The sequence below is a fragment of the Homo sapiens genome, chromosome 5 (assembly GCF_000001405.40).
Source record: "Homo sapiens chromosome 5, GRCh38.p14 Primary Assembly".
Classification (NCBI taxonomy): Eukaryota; Metazoa; Chordata; class Mammalia; order Primates; family Hominidae; genus Homo; species Homo sapiens.
In genome coordinates this window covers 7,740,695-7,760,499 of record NC_000005.10, presented here as the reverse complement: position 1 = coordinate 7,760,499, position 19,805 = coordinate 7,740,695, and the positions used below count along the sequence as shown (strand labels likewise).

Below are 19,805 nucleotides of genomic sequence, written 5' to 3'. Positions count from 1 at the left end.
GAACACACTCCTGACGGGCCAGGAGGCGGCTTAATTTTACGGGCATGTGTCAGTCACCCAAGGGTTCTGAGTAAATTGGAACCTTAGCTTGTGCACCCTGCTGCCCTTCAAGTGTGCTTTCATCCTCAGCCCCTTGGCTACGGAGTCAACTTCCGACCCAGTCTCTCTCACAGCTTTCATCTACCAAAGTCCACTTGGTGCTTGGCAGTGCACTTTCCTGGGGAGCTGGATCTTGGAAGAGCAGGACTAATGCATAAATGCAGGTTACAAAGTCGAGCCCGAAAAACCCATTTTAGAAAACACACTCATGCTTCTGGCATCTCAGGCCAATGCCCCTTGCCTGCCTCTCTCTCTGTCCAGGTTCCTTCCCTGTGATTTCTTCACATCCTTGCAGTATCCAGGAAATTGCCTATGCAGAGAGCTGAGGCATTCTTGTGGCTCGTGGTGTGTCTGCAGAAAGGCTCTTTCAAGAAAGCCTCTCCTGTCCCTGTCTTAAATCTCTCATCTTGAGTTCCCCACCCTGAGGCTGTCCCCCTGAAGAAAGCTCTGGGACCATAGCAAGAACCACTCCCCACCACCCCCACCCCCCAACCCTATTCTTCAGGCAGAATACCCTGGCTGGCCAGTCTGGCTCCTATGAGCAGGTGCCTCAGGTAGATGAATGGAGCAGGTCTCCACCTGAGCCCTGGCGTTTCTATCTTTCTGGAGCCCAGTGGTACCCCAGGGAATTGCTTGTTGTCTAGACATGGCACATTTTCCCTCTTCAGCTGTTTCCCATTCCCTCTGGATTAAGCCCTAATTGGAAATAAATGACGTCACCATCCAGGCACGCCTGAGACCTAGAAGAGGAGGCCTCCTCCCCCAGAGGGAGGCCTTATGATCCCTGCAGCAGAAAATGAGCCTCGGGTGATGCAAACACCTAAGAAGAAGGGGAGACCCACTTCGTGCCACTCGCTCATCTTACAGAAGGGCAGGAGGAGGGCTTCCAGCGGTGGACCTGGCCTGTCAGGACCTCTCCACAGGGGACTGCCAGCCAAGGGCCTGCCTTAGCCCTGGGAGGCTGTGGCCTGCATGGACTTGCCTGGTGAGCCCCTCCTTCCCCAGCAACAGATGAGCCTTTGAACTAGCTGCTCTGGAGGCTGAGCAGGTGGCTGGAGGAGGTAGCTGTGGTGGCACCTTTCAGTGGCCCGCATGCCTGGGGAGCCCACATCAGGGCTGGCCTCATGTTCTTTCTTGGGGAGCTCCTGAAATGGAGCTGGGACACACAGGCAGGTGAGGTAGGGCTGCCAGCATACTTGTCCCCAAACTCATGACACAGGAAAACCTATGGGAATTGCACACATTCACCTCTAGACAGCAGGGAGGACAAGCTACAGCTTCTCTCTGAAGGCCCCTTTGCAGGTGTCACTAAGATCAATTTCCAGGCTACACAAAGCGATGGAGAGGCCATCCCACCCCTGCTGCTAGTGCTTGGCCCATCTGGGGTCCAGGTGGCATCACCCTCACCTGAATCTGCAGGTGTTTGAGAGGAATTTACGATCTCTCGCGTGACCTGGAGGACTGACCCCATGTAAACATTCAAGGTCCTAACCCACTTCTTCAGCCTTGTTTTTCTCTACTTCGTAATATGAATTTCTACTCTTGTCCCAGATGCAAACATCCCACCTTCTCCCCTTCCGCCCACCTGCCCTTGCCCCTCACTTCCTCCAGGCCCATGTGGCAGACTCCTCCTTTCCGCCCTCCAGGATTCCATCGAGCAGGCCCTGCTCTCCCTTCCCCTCATGCCTCTGTTGCTGCCTTCACCTCCTCATTTCAGAATGACTTGATGATGAGGTTACCCAGCTGTCTGTCTCCTACTCCTACTCCTGGAAGGCAGAGAACTGTCTTTGGGGTCTGAGCATGCAGCACATACCAGACACATCTTTATATACAATAAATATTACATTTTGCTGCATGAATGCTTTCTACTTTATAAAAACGACGTTATTATTATGAAATAATATATGGTCTGTCACCACAACCTGGCTTTGGGTCCCTGGAAGGCAAGGACTACATCTCCTAACACTGCATTTCCCACAGTGAGTGAAGCCTCCACTACAGGAAGCATCAGATCTCCTACAGCTGCTGCTGCTGATGTGAGAACAATAAGGACGTGTCTCAAAGCACCCTGATGAGCCAAGTGTCTATTGTGGGGGAGATAACCGGCACTGATGAGACTGATATAGTCAGAGTGGCCATTGGTTCAATAGTTACAAAATGGCCAGGACTGTCCTAAGTGTGGTGGGAACACTGGCTCATTGAATCCTTAGAACCACCTTGGTAGAGAAGTCTTGGTTCCCACTTTCAAAGAAGTGAAAATGGAGCCTGTGGAGTTCAATGAAAACGTCTTTCTAGTCGTGCAGCTGGTGAGACGGGGAGCAAGGGGTTGCAATCGCATCATTTAAACTCCAGGGCAGGACACCGCACTCTCCTTAGTTTGAGGGTTCCTTTGTCCCTCATGACTATCCTTAAGACATTGCAGTTATTTCTGTAGCCTGTTGAGGGGCCACCATGAGCAAGGAAGTGGGGAACTGATCCAAGGAGTCACCCAGTCTCTCAAGGTGGCTCTGTGAAAGCACCCCTTTCCTTAGAGAAATGACTGCTGTAGCCAAGAGATGCTAAATTTAATAGGCAGCAACTGGTGTTGCAAAGGAGCCAAATGCAAGTTTCCAAAATTCCACAGAACAGGTCCCAGAAGGGAAGAACGCCCTGCCTGCTGTGAGCCCTGACTCACCCCGGGGCTGAGCATGTTGAACACAGCTATGGTGTGGGGCTTACCATGTTGAACACGGCTGTGGTCTGGGGCTTACCATGTTGAACACGGCCATGCTCTGGGGCTTACCATGTTGAACACGGCCGTGCTCTGGGACTTACCATGTTGAACACGGCCATCATTAATATGATGGCTGTGGTGATGATCGTGAGAGAGATCCGTGGCCAGGGGCGGTTGGCAATGATGCCCGAGGACTTCAAAAGCCACATGAGCAGGGGAGAGGCTTTTTTGCTGCATTGCTAGGAGAAGAGAGAAAGAAAAAGAGAAGCATTGCTAGCTGATGACTTCTCTCCAGTTTCTTGATGACAATGTTTACAACCACAAGAAGCACCAACATTGTTCATAGACTAAACATGTAGATTCTATCCTCCCCTGGGGACCCATACGAAGTCACAAACCTTATTAAAATTATGTTGGCATCATTGCTACCAATTGAGAACAAATTAAATGCCTATGACAAAGGTACAATGTGCTTGTATGTCTTTTAAAACAGACCTGAAATTATGTTTTTAAGTGATTCCTTTCTCAAAGGAAAAATGTCAGTTAATTAAATCACCCTGGGGGATGTGTTGGGTCTCTGATCACAGCTATGATGAAAGTTATCATTTATTCAGCTGATTTATGTGGCAAGCGATCAACACATCTCCTAACCCTTTTAACACTGCATTAGCAGATTACAAGAATACAGCCCAGGCCACAGACTTAGTTTGGCGCCTGAACTTACAAATACGGTGTCTGAAAATCTCAGGCACGAGGCTTGATGGCTTTGTGTGGTCTCGTCTGGTCTTGTGGGGGTTTTCTCCCACACGGAGAAGCTCCTTTTTTCCCTCCAAACAATTTTTAACGGTGTTAGAAACACATAATATAAAATGTGCCCTTTAAACCATTTTCAAGTGTACAGTTCAGTAGTGACAACCACATTCACATTGTTGTGTAACATCTCTAGGATTTTCAGTCTTACCAAATTGAAACTCTATACCCATGGAAAAACAACTCCCCGTTCCTCCCTCCTCCCAGCCCCCGGCAACCACCATTCCCCTTCCTGTTTCCATGACTGTGACTATTCTAAGACCTCCTATAAGTGGAACCATCTAGTAGTTCTCCTTTTGTGACTGGCTTATTTCTTTCAGCATAATGTCACCAGAGATCACGATGTTGTAGCATTATGCCAAGATTTCCTTCTTTTTTAAAGCTTGAATAAAACTCCATTGTATGGATCTATACTTTTTTTTATCCATTCATAAAATGGACACTGAGTTGCTTCACCTCTTGGCTGTTGTGAATATGCGGCTATACATATCGGGGTTGGGGAAACTTTTTTGATACAAGAAGGAATTGAGATCTTTGGGGAACGACAGCCAGCATTTGCTCCCCATTCACCATGGGGTCTCAGTGCATAAGCTCACCCATCTTGAGGGCCACCTTTCCAAGGATTCTCACCATATTCTCCCAGGTATGAGTGTGGAGCAGTACACAGAGTTCCACTGAACTGTGGGTGACATCAACTCTGCCTATGCAGATGCTGCGTGGGCATAATTTGCATACGTTATCTGATATGAGAAGCAGGAAGTAAAAGTCCTCCAGGGATTGACATTGTTATCTTCACACTAACGGGCCTGTGGTCCCAAGGCTATGTGTCTTGGAAACAAAACAAGGTGATGATTTCAAGAAATTCAGAAGAAGGAATAACATAAATTATGCCCTTTGATCGATACTACCAAGTTAACCTATTGGCAAACAAAGCTGGTGTGACATCAGTGAAATTCAAATTCAAATAAAGAATATTCCTGAACAGCACAAATAGGCTGCGCTTTCAGTTCTCTACTTCTTTCACATCTTATTTTTGTATTGTTCCTAAAATTATTGTTGCCCTAAGCATTGCTGTATGTTCAATGTTGATACAACAGTTGAATGATCGTCTAAACACAGGAGAGAGGAGTTGAGAAGGTTAAAGAATCAGCCATGGCCTAGCTTCAAACCTCTACTGCTGGGAAACTTGCGCAAATTAATGATCCTCTCTGAAATGGGGTCCCAGTTTCTTCCTCTCTGAAACGGGGATAATAACAGTACCTGCCTCCTCTGTCTTTGCAGAGGTTTAAACGAGTTAGAGAAGGTGCGTGCAACAGGACTTACAAGTGTTAGCTCTTCCTGTTATTTCAATGAAGAAAACACAATGTTTCTTAGAAACATTTTAGTGACCAAAATCCTATTTCCTTTATATCTATGTAAACAACAACAAAATCTCCTCCTCTCTACTCCTTTCCACCATGTTTTTTTTTTTCTTCCTTCCAGCTCCTGATAGGAAAAGATGAACAATGTTTGTGTACAGCGCACATGCCCCCCTGAGGGAGACGCAGGACCAGGTTCCGGGTTCACTTCTTGGGCTGATTTTCCTGCGCCCTCGTCTCATTTCTCTGAGTACCTACCAGGGAGCTTGAGCCACTGCTGCCCTCAGCCGCACAGGCTGCCCAGAGCTGGACTGCTGACTGGCGGCAGGGGGCGCCCTCGGCCCAGCTCTGCAGGACATCTGATCACCGGCAACAGAAGAACCAGATCTGTACTTGACGCTTCTACTTAAGAGCAGGTTTGGATAGGGGTTGGTGATGGCAGGAAATCTGTCATGCAGCAAGATGTCCCTTAATGCTCTGAACATGCAGCATCTTAGAGGGTCAGGTAGCCAGAGAACATCCACCCACGAATGGTTATCATTATTGTTTAATGCATGCTACTTCTAATAATACTAATATCACAAAACACAGTCAGATCTGTGTTCCGTAGAAGAAGGTTTTTTGTTTTGTTTTGTTTTGTTTTTTCTTTTTTTTTTTCCTGAGACGGAGTCTTGCTCTCTCACCACTCAGGCTGGAGTTCAATGGCACGATCTCTGCTCACTGCAACCTCCGCCTCCTAGGTTCAAGCGATTCTCCTGTCTCAGCCTCCTGAGTAGCTGAGTTTTTTTTGTTTGTTTGTTTTGTTTTTTGCCATTACCTTTAAACCGCAACTACTTTTGCACCAACCTATAATACAATATGAAGAGCCGAGCTTCAAATGAAATATTATGCTCATCTAGCTCAGATTCCATTAGATAATGGCATTTGGTTTGATTCTCACAAATTAAGACAGTATTTATATATTCACATCCAGATTGACTACAGTTAGTACCTTTAAGAGAAAATTATTAAAATCAATGCTCTTATATTTGTGAAATTATGATAATTTCTGTACACAGAAATTATCAATAGATATGATAATGAAAATGTTAACAGTAGAACATTTAAAAAGTTTATTACTTCAGGGGAAAATGTACATCTAGCTAAGATTGCATATCACTGTCAATTAGGTAAAATATTAGCTAGTTATTACACAGACAAATTTTTGAAATTACAAAATTAAAACAAGTTACTGTGTTTGAAGATTTAGAAAAATACGTGGTGATAATCTTGTCAAATATGCTAATCTAATAGGAATATGTTATATTCTGCTCATAGGCTAGTAACTTACTAAAACAGACCCGGGCAGATATGCAGGAATTTTTTTCTGTTCGTGTGACATGCCAGGCAAAATGACGAATCGGCAGCACTTGCAGCTACTTACTAGACGCATGGGGGTTTGGCAGACATGGGTTTGGCACAACAGGTTCAGGATGCGCTTGGTTCAATTATTCACCCATGCATTTTCCATGCATACCTCAAAGTTCTCCCTCACAATTGTTTTAAAACTTATGCCAAATGTGTTGTTCCAGAGGTCAGGGAGACAGGCGGTATCTTTCCTTGTCACCAAGCAGTGACAAGGTAAGTAAACCTGTTCTGAAGTGTAAAAATTGGTAGGCATTGCTGCTGGCAAGGACAAGAAAGTAGAAGAGAACAGAGAGGTGACAGTTGCAATGACAGGGATGAAAGAGGAAGTGGAGGATCAAGCTGGTGGGGGGAGCAGAAGAAACCAATGATGGGGATAAGAGGAGAAACAGGACTAAGATTCTAAAATGGAAGGAACCTGATTAAGAAAAATGGAGACCCTTGATTCAGTGTGTAGCTCTGTAGAAAAATTACAACTTGGCTCTTGATATGATCATTGGCTTCAGTTTATCCTGTTTTTGATTAAGTATTAAAGGCTCTGGTGGAAAAATGTTTATCAAAATTCCGACCATCCTAATTAAATGTTATAAATGACAACATCTCAAAAAATATTTTGGCCTTTATTTGGAAGATACTATTCAACTGAAAATGAGAAAATGCCTGCTGTGAGCCCAGTCAGTGGAGTCATTTTCTTTGATCTTTGGTTTAACTCCTGGCATAATTTCAACCACATCTGTTTCCTCCCTTCCTTGATCATCTCACTGAACCCCATGATCGGCTCTTACTTACAGTGAGCTCACCGTGTACCTTCTAGAAATGCACTTGGATGTGAATATCACATTCATCCATTAACAAACAAGGGATTGATACTAAATGCAGTGGGAGATGTAATAAAAGAAGAAATATATAGGAAAATCCTAGCCAGGCACTGTGGCTCACGCCTGTAATCCCAGCACTTTGGGAGGCTGAGATGGGCAGATCATGAGGTCAGGAGTTTGAGACTATCCTGGCCAACATGGTGAAACCCTGTCTCTACTAAAAAGACAAAAATAAGCTGGGTGTGGTGGCGGGTGCCTGTAATCCCAGCTACTAAGGAGGCTGAAGCAGGAAAACTGCTTGAACCCGGGAGGCAGAGGTTGCAGTGAGCTGAGATTGCACTACTGTACTCCAGCCTGAGTGACAGAGCAAGACTGTGTCTCAGAAAAAAAAAAAAAAAAAAAAGGAAAATCCTATCATAGAATTGATGATGGGGACAACGAGCAGTGGGGTGTGGTAGGAAAAACGTGGGATGAATCCCAATGTTCTTAATCCAGTACATGCAGATCTTCCTCAGAAAAACAAAATGTTCATACATGCTCCACCAAAAATATCAGCCAGCTTCTCTTCCTTCCCTCTCTCTTTCCTTTTTTTTTTCTTCCCTTGTTTTGATCCACTTGCAATGGAAACAACTGGTAGTCTCTCAAATTAAGTTAAATCTAAATTTTTCACTCTAAAATTAATTCTTCATAATTTAACTTAATCATTATAAAAGTAGACTTCATTTACAGTTTCATTAGTTTCCATTTTAACAATAAGATGAGACACTTGAAGAGAAGTAGAAGCTCATATTAAGTGAACTTAATAAAATGAAAAAAAAAATCCAGAAAAGTTATAAAGATATCAGAGTGGCTGAGAAGCAAACTTTTATTATTAGAAAAACGAAATCCATCTTAAAAATCTTGCTTGGAAAATATAGTGGTTTCATGTTTCATATAAACATGTACTTTTGTGTATTTGCCTAAAGGAACATCTACTTTGGCATTTTAATTAGCTGAGGACCGTCATTCTGAATGGCAGGAATAAGCCGGAGCAATAATTACTTGTAACATTTAATGTCACAAAGACTGTGATGTGTACTTTGATTATTTAATTGTCCTTTAATTTCCCATAGGAAGACTTCTTTATGCCAATCAATCATATTTTACAAAATCAACCTGTTTCTTCTTTTCGCCCTGGGTGAGCCACATCCCTGCACTGTTGCTCCACTGGGTACCACATTGCATCATTTTTGCTGACATGCTTGTCTCTGGCCAAATGCAGAGGTGGTTGAGGACAGTGACCATATCGCACTTGTCTCTGTTTTCCCAGAGGCCAGTATAGTGTTTGTTAAATGGTAGGAACTCGTCAAATACGTGTTGATTCTGTTTACTATTTTTAATGATGGACTCAAAGGGAAATTACCAGGGCACAGAAACAAAGAGAGAGCTCAGTGATAAAGGAACTGAGGCTGTGGGGTGGGTCCAGGAGTGTCCTGGATCAGGACTCAGGCTATGGCACTTAGGGGGTGAGCTTTTAACACCCATAGGGAAAAGAAGATATTTCCTTGGGCCAGCCAAACGTGGACAGCTGCAACTAAGACTCTTGAATAAAATCCAGAGCCTCAAACTGCTATACTTTCTGTACAAAGAAGTCTAGAAGAGCCCCATTCACTAGCTCAGGGAAGTGTCAATAAGCTTCCAAGGATCAATCCAAACCCTAAAGTGTTGGGTTTGAAATCACATTACCTGATTCATAATAAGAATTCCAAATTGAAGGGTTGTTAATTAGGTCAAAACCAGAGAAAATCCTTGGGGCTATGGCAGAAGCAAGAATGACACTGCTGGTAAATGATACTTTAGACTACAGTGTGCAGGGATGTCCCATCTGGGGGCTGGGGCAGTTCCTCCTGAACATAACCTCACAATAAAAACCAAATTATAAAGTACCTAAGGCAATGGACCATATGAGGAAGAATCAAAAGACATTAGAGGTAGTCGAATTAGCACCACGAGATCTGCAGATACGACAACAACCTGAAATAGCTTCTAAATTAAGATTAAAGTAACAAAAGAGGGATTATAATCCATATGAATGAGTGAGTTGTTAAGGAAAAATAACAAGTATTTTTTAAAATGAGCCACATAAACTTTCTAGAGATGAAAATGTAGATATTGAAATTAAAAACTAAATGGTTATTGAGGAACTGGATGAACTGCCCGTGAATGGGAGAGGCTATGAAACATCTCAGGAAATAAACCACAAAATAGCACAGAAAGATAAAGAAGTGGAAAATAGGAAAAAGAGACTGAGACACAGAGGATATGATGAAGAGATTCAACATACCTCTGATAAAAGTTTGAAAAAAGCAGAACAGAAAGACCAGGGAAGAGACAAAACACAAGGAGATATTGGACAATGACGTTGCAGACCTAGAGCGGATTATGAGGTCTGTGGTAGAGAATACACAGCTGAGTCTCAAAAATAAAAGTCAGGCTGCACTTTGACACCTGGAATCTACTGCCCATGATACAAAGAGCAAATCCTACAAAAACTCCCACCGAGACAAGGGACCAAGTGTCTACAACAGTTAGATGGACAGGAGAGTTAATCTCATTCCCACAGAGGCCAGGAAATTATGGAATCCTGTTTTTAGAATGTTAGAAAAAATTATAAATAATCACAATGGGGAAAAGATAAAGACTTTTTAAAATACAAAATCTGAGTGGGTATATTATATACAAACCCTCATGGGAAGGATTATAAAAGGAAGCATTTTAGTAATATGGAAACTGAGTCCAGAAAGGTGGAATGGTATTTGGAAAAAATAGTAAACAAATACATTGTTTAACAAAAACAGGAATAAACATTGAATAATTTGAGCAGTTTAAGTTTAGAAAAATTTAAACCATGCTAGTATGGAAGATGAGAAAAATTACCAGACTCAGAGCATGGTCCCTGTATTGTTCAACAAGAAAGTGGAGATATTATTAATAATATACTTTGTTAATCATGTGTACATGTTACGGTTTTAAGGTAATAACTGAAAAAACAAACTAGAGTATATAAGTTCCAAGTCACTAGAGAGAATAAAAGAGAATAAACTCCAGGAGTCCAAAAGAAGGCAGAAAAGAAGGAAAAACAAGTAGAAGCAAAAAGATACAAATTGGGTTTTAAAAGATTTTAGTAATAATTATAATACAGGTAAATGGATCACACTTGTCAAATAAGAGAGAGAGATGTTTGGATCAGAGAAAAGGACATAGAGCTACATGCTGTTCACCAGAGACACACCTAAAACCTATATCCTTTTCATTGACAAGGAAAAGCTGAAAGTAGAAAGATGGAACAAGGAACACCAGGCAAATACTAACCAAAAATAAAATATGGTGGAGGGATATTGACAGGAAAGAAAACAGACTTCAAGGGAAAAACACTGCTGTGGGGTAGAAAGCTTTTCTATTAGCTGTGTGACCTACTTTCCCTTTCCCGAGGCGACCTCTCTATTTGCGCTTTTATCTCTGCCTGGAAGAACGTTGGTGGGCTGGCATCGTATTATCTCTGCTATTGAAAGCACAAGGTAACAACACTGAGAGAAAAATTTCTTCTGATATTTTCTGGCATTTTCATTTGCCGTATCCAGCATATGCGTTCTAAAGGTGTTTTGGGGGTTGGTTTGTTTGGTGGAATTTTTGGTTAGAGTCACTCTCTTGTATTTATCATAGAAAGGTAAGTCTGCCTCAGGTAGTTTAGAAAGTTAAATCTGACTGTGAATGTGCACTTATTACTATTACTGCTACAATGACAACTAGTACTATTTTTAATTGCTAATTGTAATGAAAATGTGAACTTGAATCTCTTATTCTAGTCTTAGCTTCTGCCTAGATAAAATGGATTATTTTCATTATCAAATAAAATAATGTCTGAAAATACTTTGAAGGACTATTATATGTATAAAACATTTTGTAAAGTATTATTATAATACTGAGTACTTTCTTACTAGATTACTTTAATCTAAACACAATTATAAATTAACTTAAAAAAATTATCAAATGTCTTTTAAGATGAATTTACACTTTGCCCAGAACCTAGTTTTAAATAAATGGGACCAACAGCTGAAAAACATACTTTAGGAAACTAGAGTAGAGAAGAATAAGAATAGGTACTATGTGAAGTTACCATGACTTACCAATGTGATTTTGATCAATGGGTGCTGAGTAGTCACAAGGCAACTTTGGTGCCATGCTGGTCCATGTCCATGAACATGGGCATCCCTGCCTAGTGCTGGGCACCGTCTGCCTGTGACTCACCCCACACACAGCCTGGCACCCTCTGCAACCTGCTTCTACTATAAGGTTCCAAGGCTTGATTCCAATTCTGGTTCCAACACCTACTTGCTATATACCACTGGGAAGGCAAGTTATGTAGCATCTGTGAGCCCCGGTTCTATTAAACTGTCAAATGGATATTACCTCCAAGGGCCCTTGTGACCATAAATGAGCCAGTAGAAGCTAAGTGCCTAGCAGAGTAAGTAGGTATTTTTAATATAACATTTACTACTTATAAACTATGATGAGGCTGGAATCAGAACCACTCATTGGGATCTTGCCCATCATAAATAGTTTGGATTTATTCCAAAGGTTCTTACCCAAGGATAGGAAGCCTTTGCAGACCTCATAGTCATTGCATTCCTGATTCTACTCCAAAGCCTCCATTTGCATCCTCAAGAAGCCTGATTACAGCTTCTTCAGCATTTTGTGTGTGTGTGTGTGTGTGTGTGTGTGTGTGTGTGTGTGTGTGTTGGAGGGTGGGGGGAAATGTTTATTTTAAATAATTGGAAATAAAAACTCACTTAAGTGGATGGCACCTTTGGAGTCCTTGGTCCCTCATCCACAGAATTAGAGGCTGGATGAGGTTATCTCTAGGTTCCCTCTCACCTCTTGAGTTTTAAATTCTGAAATGCTAAATAGCATCCGATGTAGAAAGCATTTCAGAGTCAAGGAATCATGGTGAATGTGAGCAAGAAATTTCAATGCAGTGTGACGAAGGCCACCGACTTACCATCCCTTCTCTCACCCACACATTCCTTTACACATAGAACCCGCCCTCCTGCTAAGCCATCTGGAGAAGGTCCCCTAGGGCACATATTTCTCTGCCTGAGAATAGCTGGCAATGGTGAGATGAAGGGGCTGCTATATGGGCCTAGGAAGGCACCTGAGGCAGAGGTGTCTAAGGAGATCCAACAAGTGAGAACATCAGGATGCCAGGCCCAGATGCAGAGGCTGGGAACCCGCCAGAATGCGGAGCAGGATGCCATGACTGTGAGCTGGATTCAGAGCTTCAAGTTCGGAAGGAGTCCAGTTGGGGTGAGAATGGGGGTGGAATGTTTTCTGAGCAGTGGTACCAGGAAACCGCACTTGGGTGCAACCCAACATTCCTTCAAGCAGATTGATATTAAATATTTATCTTGTGTTTTTCAAGTGCCTGAAGTAGTACAATGAACAAAATAGGGCTACAGTGAACTCACTGAAGATCTTTCCATCCACAAGAATAAAAGTAATAACGCAAAATGGGAATCCCGGCCAGCCAGCATGAGAGGAGTTGGTGGTGCAAAGGCGGGCTCTTCAGAGTTGGATTATGAAAGTTAGATGATAATTTCCAACAGAGGAGACAGCTGGAGGCACGTCAGAGTCAAGGAATCATGGCATATGTGAACAAGGCATTTTGACGCAGCGTGATGAAGGCCACTGACTCACATTCCTTCTCTCATCCACGTGATCATTGACACATAGAGTCTGTCCCCATGCTGGGACATTTGGAGAAGGTTCTGCAGGGGACACCTAACTCGGCTTGAGAAAGGTTGGCCTCCATGAGATGAGGGAGTGCTAACCAGAGCCGGATGAGAGGAGAAAGTAAGAAAGGACCCCATAAAAATGCTACAGTACAAGGAACTCTATATATTCAAGGGGAAACAGAAACAATTTAGAGGTCTCAGTGAGATCTTATATGATGGAGGCTAAGCTACGTGACACAGATTGTCAGTCCCACGGTGTAAAAAGAAGGGCTTGGTGCAGTTTCAAGGTATCTTGGAAGGTGCCCGGTGGCTGGGCCCACCCACGTGCACAAGAACTGAGACCTGGGCAATGTGGGGGTAGCAGGGAGCCAGCATGGGGCATGCCTCGGGTGGGAGTGAAGGGGCCGATGGAGGCGAGGGCTGGGCTTCTCACAGAAATAATGATCACAGAAAAGAAATGCCTGCCATGTGTTTGAGAACATGTCACTGAACAAATACCTGTACGATTTTTCTATCAACAGGAAAAAATCTGCAATTCATCATCACCATTTTTTTTGCCTATTTTGATATTTTTCTACCTTTTTATCAAGGCCAGTTGTAAAACAAGCAATCAATTTGATTTATTGGCATTACGCTTTCTGTGCAACAGAGAATGACAGAGGCAAAGCTCTTGGAAGAAAACATTAGCCAGGCTGACCTCTCTTCAGCTTCCTTTATGAAGTATTACATTTTATGTTATTTCTTCATACGGAGAACTGAAAGCTGGTATTAGAGCACAAATACTGTCTTTGGCATCGAAGTTTTCAGAAAGTTACCATACGTTAATAGAAGGCAAGTTTCGGGTATTGAGTACTCTTTAATAAACTCAGTATTTAATTCATAATAAATGCAAATCATTATAAAACCTTACACAACTGGGAAGCTATTAAGAAGCCAGGGAATGAGCACTTAGGAAGTGACAATGTTTCTCCACGACCACTGCGGAATATTTGTGATGAGCAGTTTTTGACTGAATTTGGATGGCAGAGTGCAGAGTGCACTTAAGCCTTCTTAAATTGGCTGTACACCAATATATTTGATGTTGCAAATTAAAAAATCCTTAAAGAATGATTTAAACAGTAAAAAAGGACCTATTATTAAAGTGAAAAGAATTCCTTCTTGATTTTTTTCATGGATTACATCCAAGGAGGAGGAATTGCAGCTGGCCACTAGAGGGAGCCTCATTCACGGATCTTATGGAATCAAGTTTAGGAGGACCAAGTGTCGCCACGTCTAGGCTTCCTGGGCACTTTGACACCATCCAGGCTTCTTGTGAGGAGGAGGTAAGCACCAATGCATTTGTAGCATTGAAATCTTCCCTTTGTGATACCACGGAGTCAAAAAGAACTTTCTAGCATGTGGCCTGTGGAGGCCAGGGTCCTGGGAAGCTCCAGGGACGGGAGGGCAGGAGGAGCTGTGGGTGTCACCTTGACAGCTTACCGGGGCCTCAGGCTGGCCACAGGAGGAGCTATGAGAGGGGCAGCAGGGCGTGGGATTCCAGCGAGGCTGAAAGGGAGGCACCAGAGAGGAACAATGCTTTCCCACAGACGCAGCAGAGTTGTTCCTGAGATATTTTTTTCTGCCCCCAGCTCTATGTTTCTTTAATATAACAACTTAGAGAGTAGAATGAAAAAAAGTCAGCCTGATACCCTAAATATACCACATGCCCCCATATCCAAGACCAGATTCCCTGGGATAGAAAATGATAAATATGGCTAGTTAGTCACAATGATCTGAACTGACTTAATTAGAACTAGGTTGGGATTTCCAATGGAACCACCAATGATGGTTCCTGTTTTGGAAACCTGAGACATGGGCTTCAGGAGATTTGTGGGGGCAAGGAAGAGAGCAGGGGAGCCTGTGTGCCTTTCCACCTGAGGGATGATTCCGGGAACATAGAAAACCAGGCTTCTTTCTACAATAAGCGTTTTCAAACTTTGCCAAAGAGTTCCATCAGGGCCTTTCGGAGTGGATTCATATTAACCAAGGGTCTTCCCTCCTCTATACAACCCACAATGTCTTCAGGGGGTTTCAGAGAATCGAGATGCTATGTGTGCATTTGGGTAAAGCAGAAGCCACAGTCCCATTTTTGGAAGAGCTTTCAATACAATTTGAAACATCTAAACTATCAAACAGTAAACAAAATCCACACAAGTTTGCAAAGGTATAAGGCACAGAGGACAAAGTGCTTACAGTCGACTGCGGAAAGGCAGAGACAAGCTTTGGAATCTTAACCACCCTTGGCCAAAGCCTTTCAGCACATCAGACTGGAATGCAATGGACAGCGTGGGGGTCAGGACTGCCACTTTTCAGAGCTTTTGAAGGGAGGACGAGGATTCTAAGAGGCCACTATCGCGCTGTCCTGATGTTGTTGCTAGCAGTAGTAGTGTGTTTTATGAAAAGCAAAACAACATTGCAATAAAGCCACAGATGCAAACTATAAACGCATGCAGAATGAGAAAAAATTCTTTCATAGAAGCCACAATACTCCTGAGAGGTAACAGACAGGCCACAAACCTCAGGAGGCTTCCTTGGCGGTGTCATCTAAATGCGTTGTTACAGTCTAACCAGCAGAAGAAATCATAATTTTGACAATGTGAAAATATCTAGACTGTAGTCTGTAACTGCAGAACTCATATAAAATGCATCCATTGAAAAATATTTTAAAGAACATTTCTATTTATTTTTTATAATAGGTTATTAATTATCATGTAAAAATTTTTATTAAAAAAATCTCTGAAGCTTCTCTTGAGAATGCCCATGGGGGCAAGGAAGAGAGCTGCTGAGAAGCTCAGAGTGGCCTCTCTGTCCCAGGTCATCTCCATTGAACAAAACGAAACAGTGGCTTATCTTCAGGGCCTTCTATCCCATTGTTTGCATCCTTACGATGCTCTCATAGACTCATGGCCAGCTAGCAACACTTGCTTTAGACTTTCAATTTTAGGTTTAATCTGTATATCCAGAACTAGCATTTAAACCTGATTGGCTTAAATTAAACACTAATAAAAGATATTTTAACGTATGCTTTCTTCAACTACTCCAACATTTTATAGCTTGAAAGTGGATGTAGCAATGTATTAGGTTTACTTTTTTTTTTAAATTTTACTTTAAGTTCTGGGATACAGGTGCTGAATGTGCAGGTTTGTTACATAGGCATACATGTGCCATGGTGGTTTGCTGCACCTATGAACCCATCATCTAGGTTTTATGCCCCGCATGCATTAGGTATTTGTCCTAATGCTATCCCTCCCCTTTTCCCCCACCCTCCAACAGGCCCCAGTGTGTGATGTTCCCCTCCCTGTGTCCATGTGTCCTCATTGTTCAACTCCCACTTATGAGTGAGGACAGGCAGTGTTTGGTTTTCTGCTCCTGTGTTAGTTTTAATCCTCCTGTACACTGAAAGCCTCATATTATACTTGCATTTGCTGCTATAAATACTCTGAAAACTTAAAGGAAATGATAAAAATATATTGACACCAAATAAGCAAGAATGCAACTTCTGATGTGACATCGAACGTTTTGAATCATCTTCATATTCGTGTCTTGGTTGTGCATGAGGGGTCCCAGTCTATATTCCTGGTTATAGACCTGAAGGGTGTGTGTTTCCTTAACTGGGATCTGGAGTTCTTGAAGTGGTAAAGCAATAAGCTCCTTGTTTTGGAAAGTTTTAGGCAAGAAATCAGCTTTCATGAAATGAGCATACTTTTCAAAGAAGCGCCACATTTGAATACCTACCAGAAGCTGTCCAGCAAAGCAGACGAAGAGGATGAAGGCCAGCAAGAGAAACGCAGCCCCAAAGGAGATGCCCAGGACGGACGTTCTACCGGGAAACAAAAAGCAGCAAGTCAGGGTGGAGATCGTTTCTCTCATTCTGGAAAGCTACCAGTAATACTTTTGGGTTAACGAGGACTTTATTAAATGCAGACTGCAATCCTCACTAAATTTTTGAGAAATAAAAATGGAGCTAAAATGCCACATACATGTCCATAGAAAAGGGTCCACACAGCGATGGCCAATTAACTTATTCTGACTCAATAAAACTGCCTCAGAAGCATCAGTTCTTTATGAAGGATAAAGAATCTTTTTAAATGACTCGCCCATGTTCCTGGCAGTTTCATGTGGCACTTGGCCACATCCCCCATCTCGGTGGCCTCTTCACTGCCAGTGAGATCCTGGCAGCTGCCGCCTTAAGGACAGCCTCACCTTGATAGCCTGGAAGTCCTCAAGTTCCACCCTTGTTCCTGTTGACCCAGGAGACATTGAGTCCTCACCCTCCCCAATCTCATGAAACCAGATTCAACCTATTTTGTTCAACATAGATGCAGCAAAATGTGTAGCGAGGCTTTTTACATGCTTGAGTGAGCCAATGAACTCAAAAGCATCCCATGATCATGTGAAAAACATGCCTACTGAGTTGCAAATCCTGCTACTGACAGATTACAGGCTTACTTATAAGAATTGTATACATATCCGAAAGGTCCCTTAAATAATTAAATAATTCAAAGCCTTTTAAAACTTAGTTTAATCCAAGGATAGAAGTTTCAGAGGTATAAAAAGGACTGAAGCACAGTGAATCATCAAAGATGAAATGCAAATGGAACATCCAAGGAGAGGTTGGATGGTGTCTGAGACCAAAATGGAACCTCATGCCAATGAGGTTGGCTAGAGACAGTGAAGAAACAGAGGATTTGGCTAAGAAGAGGAGTAACATCCAGAAACAACGTATGGGATGGAAGAACCAGATATAAGCCAGCCACAAGCTGACATCCTCCTGCAGGTGCACTCCTGTGAGTCCCACAGAAAGAGAAACAAATTGAGCAGTTAGTGCCCTGAGTAAAGCTCCTGATGCTGTCATGATGAGAAGCCACCCTCAACTCTTTATCTCAGATACCTACTCCATTAAGAGGGATGACTACAGGGACACACATCAAACAACATCTACAAAAACTTGAGTTCAAACCAACAATTGGACCTGACCCAATCAATGACTTTCGGGCACTGAGTCATGTCCTAGACATGACTCACAATGCTTTCAAACACCTGGCCTGATAATAATACTTGTTCAGATTTTACAAGTGATGATAAGACTCTGCGGGAGGGTGTGTATATACCAAGTACACCTAGATTGTTGACTAGTCTCATGGGCCGGGCTCATGCTAGGCTGTTCTGACACAAAGATGAGTAAGATGTGATCCTGCAGCAGCGGGAGGAGTGCCAGCCCACATCTCAGAGCTATGGAGGGCGCTTGCCATTATCCTCATGACTAAAGGGGACCACAGTGATTCATCTGCTGAGCTTTGATTTGCTATCTTCTCTTCTGTTTTACGAAGGAGCTCTGACAGGTTTTTTTTTTTTTTTTGGGCACTATGCTCTCCTAGCTTTTTCTCGGTGTTAAGGTAATGCCAGATTCATAAGGCTGAGTTTAGAAACAACATTTCGTCTTTTTTTTTTAGGCCCCAAACTGTTTAAATACTGAATGAACGATATCTTCTTGGAGGTTTGATAAAACTCAAGTATAAAATTATCTGATGATGATGATGATAATAATGACGGTGATGGTAATGATGGTGATGATAACAGGTGATACAGTGATGGTGACAGGGATAGTGATGGTGATATTGATAGGGATGGTGATGGTGATGACGATGATGAGGATGGTGATGATGGTGATGGTAATGATGATTATGGGTGATGGTGATAGGGATGATGATGGTATGGTGACAGTGATAGGGATGGTGATGGTGATGGTGATGGTGATGATGATAGTGATGGTGATAGAGATGGTTATGGTGATGATGGTGACGGTGATGGTGATGATGATGATGATGATAATGAGGATGGTGATGGTGATGATGATGGTGATAATGATGGTGATGGTGATGATGGTGATGGTGATGGTGATAGGGATGGTGATGGTGATGGTGATAGGGATGGTGATGGGGATAATGGTGGTGGTGATGGTAGTGGTGTGGTGATGGTGGTGGTGGTGATGCTACATCCTAAAATCTATAGAGTATTCACTATGTGTCAAGTGCTATGTATATATGTACATATATAGTTCACTTTATCCTCACAATAATCCTATATAGTAGTTAGTATTATTACCTCATTTTGCCAGAGAAACTGATACACAGGGAAGTTGAGGAACTTGCCCAAGTTATACTTCTATAACTTCCCTAAAGTTATACCTCTATTAAGTGATGTTGTCTGGATTTATGTCTACCCAGTTGTATTCCTGATCCAGGTTCTGTTTTAGAAATAGACATGTCACATTTCTGCCATGTTTATTGGTTCTGTTTCTTGAGTCAATTTTGATGATTTTCCTAGAAAATTATCTATTTCATTTAGATTTTCAAATGTAAAATATTCTATATAATATTTTCTTATAATTTAAAAACTCTCCATATTTGTAATTTCTTATGCTTAATGCTATTTTCTTTAGATCAGATTTGTGAGGTTTTGCATGTTTTGTTGACCTTCTCAAGGAATAAGTGTTTGGTTTATTATTAAGGTCTGTTCTTTCTTTCTATATTAATTAGTTTCCGATTCAACTTTAAAAAATTTATTTCTTCTTCCTTAATTAAACTTATATACTTTATCTTGGATTGTCATTTGTTAGAAAATATTTTGTATTTTCTAATAAGTGCATTTAAGGACATAAATATTCTACTAGTTACTGCTTTTGCCAAATCCCACAGCCTTTAATTCATAGCTACTCATTATAACTCTTTTCTAAAAAGCCTATACTTTCAATTTCCATTTTCTTTTAATACTAAAAGTAACTCAGAAGTCT

The 19,805-nt window shown here is 42.1% G+C and overlaps 1 protein-coding gene across 5 annotated transcripts in view; it reads right to left on the bottom strand.

Annotated features, from left to right (window-relative positions):
- The window catches only part of ADCY2 (adenylate cyclase 2), a 433,944-nt gene that overhangs the window by 69,582 nt on the left and 344,557 nt on the right, over nucleotides 1–19,805 (bottom strand). For 3 of the 5 annotated variants that reach the window (NM_020546.3, XM_047416645.1, XM_047416646.1), the window contains exons 15-16: nucleotides 16,748–16,832; nucleotides 2,914–3,051 (exon numbers count right to left, since the gene is read on the bottom strand). In NM_020546.3, coding sequence (NP_065433.2) covers nucleotides 2,914–3,051; nucleotides 16,748–16,832 — 223 coding nt within the window. Of the gene's footprint in view, nucleotides 1–2,913; nucleotides 3,052–16,747; nucleotides 16,833–19,805 lie in introns of those variants that run through there. The other 2 variants (XM_011513942.3, XM_047416647.1) reach the window with 2 other exon arrangements.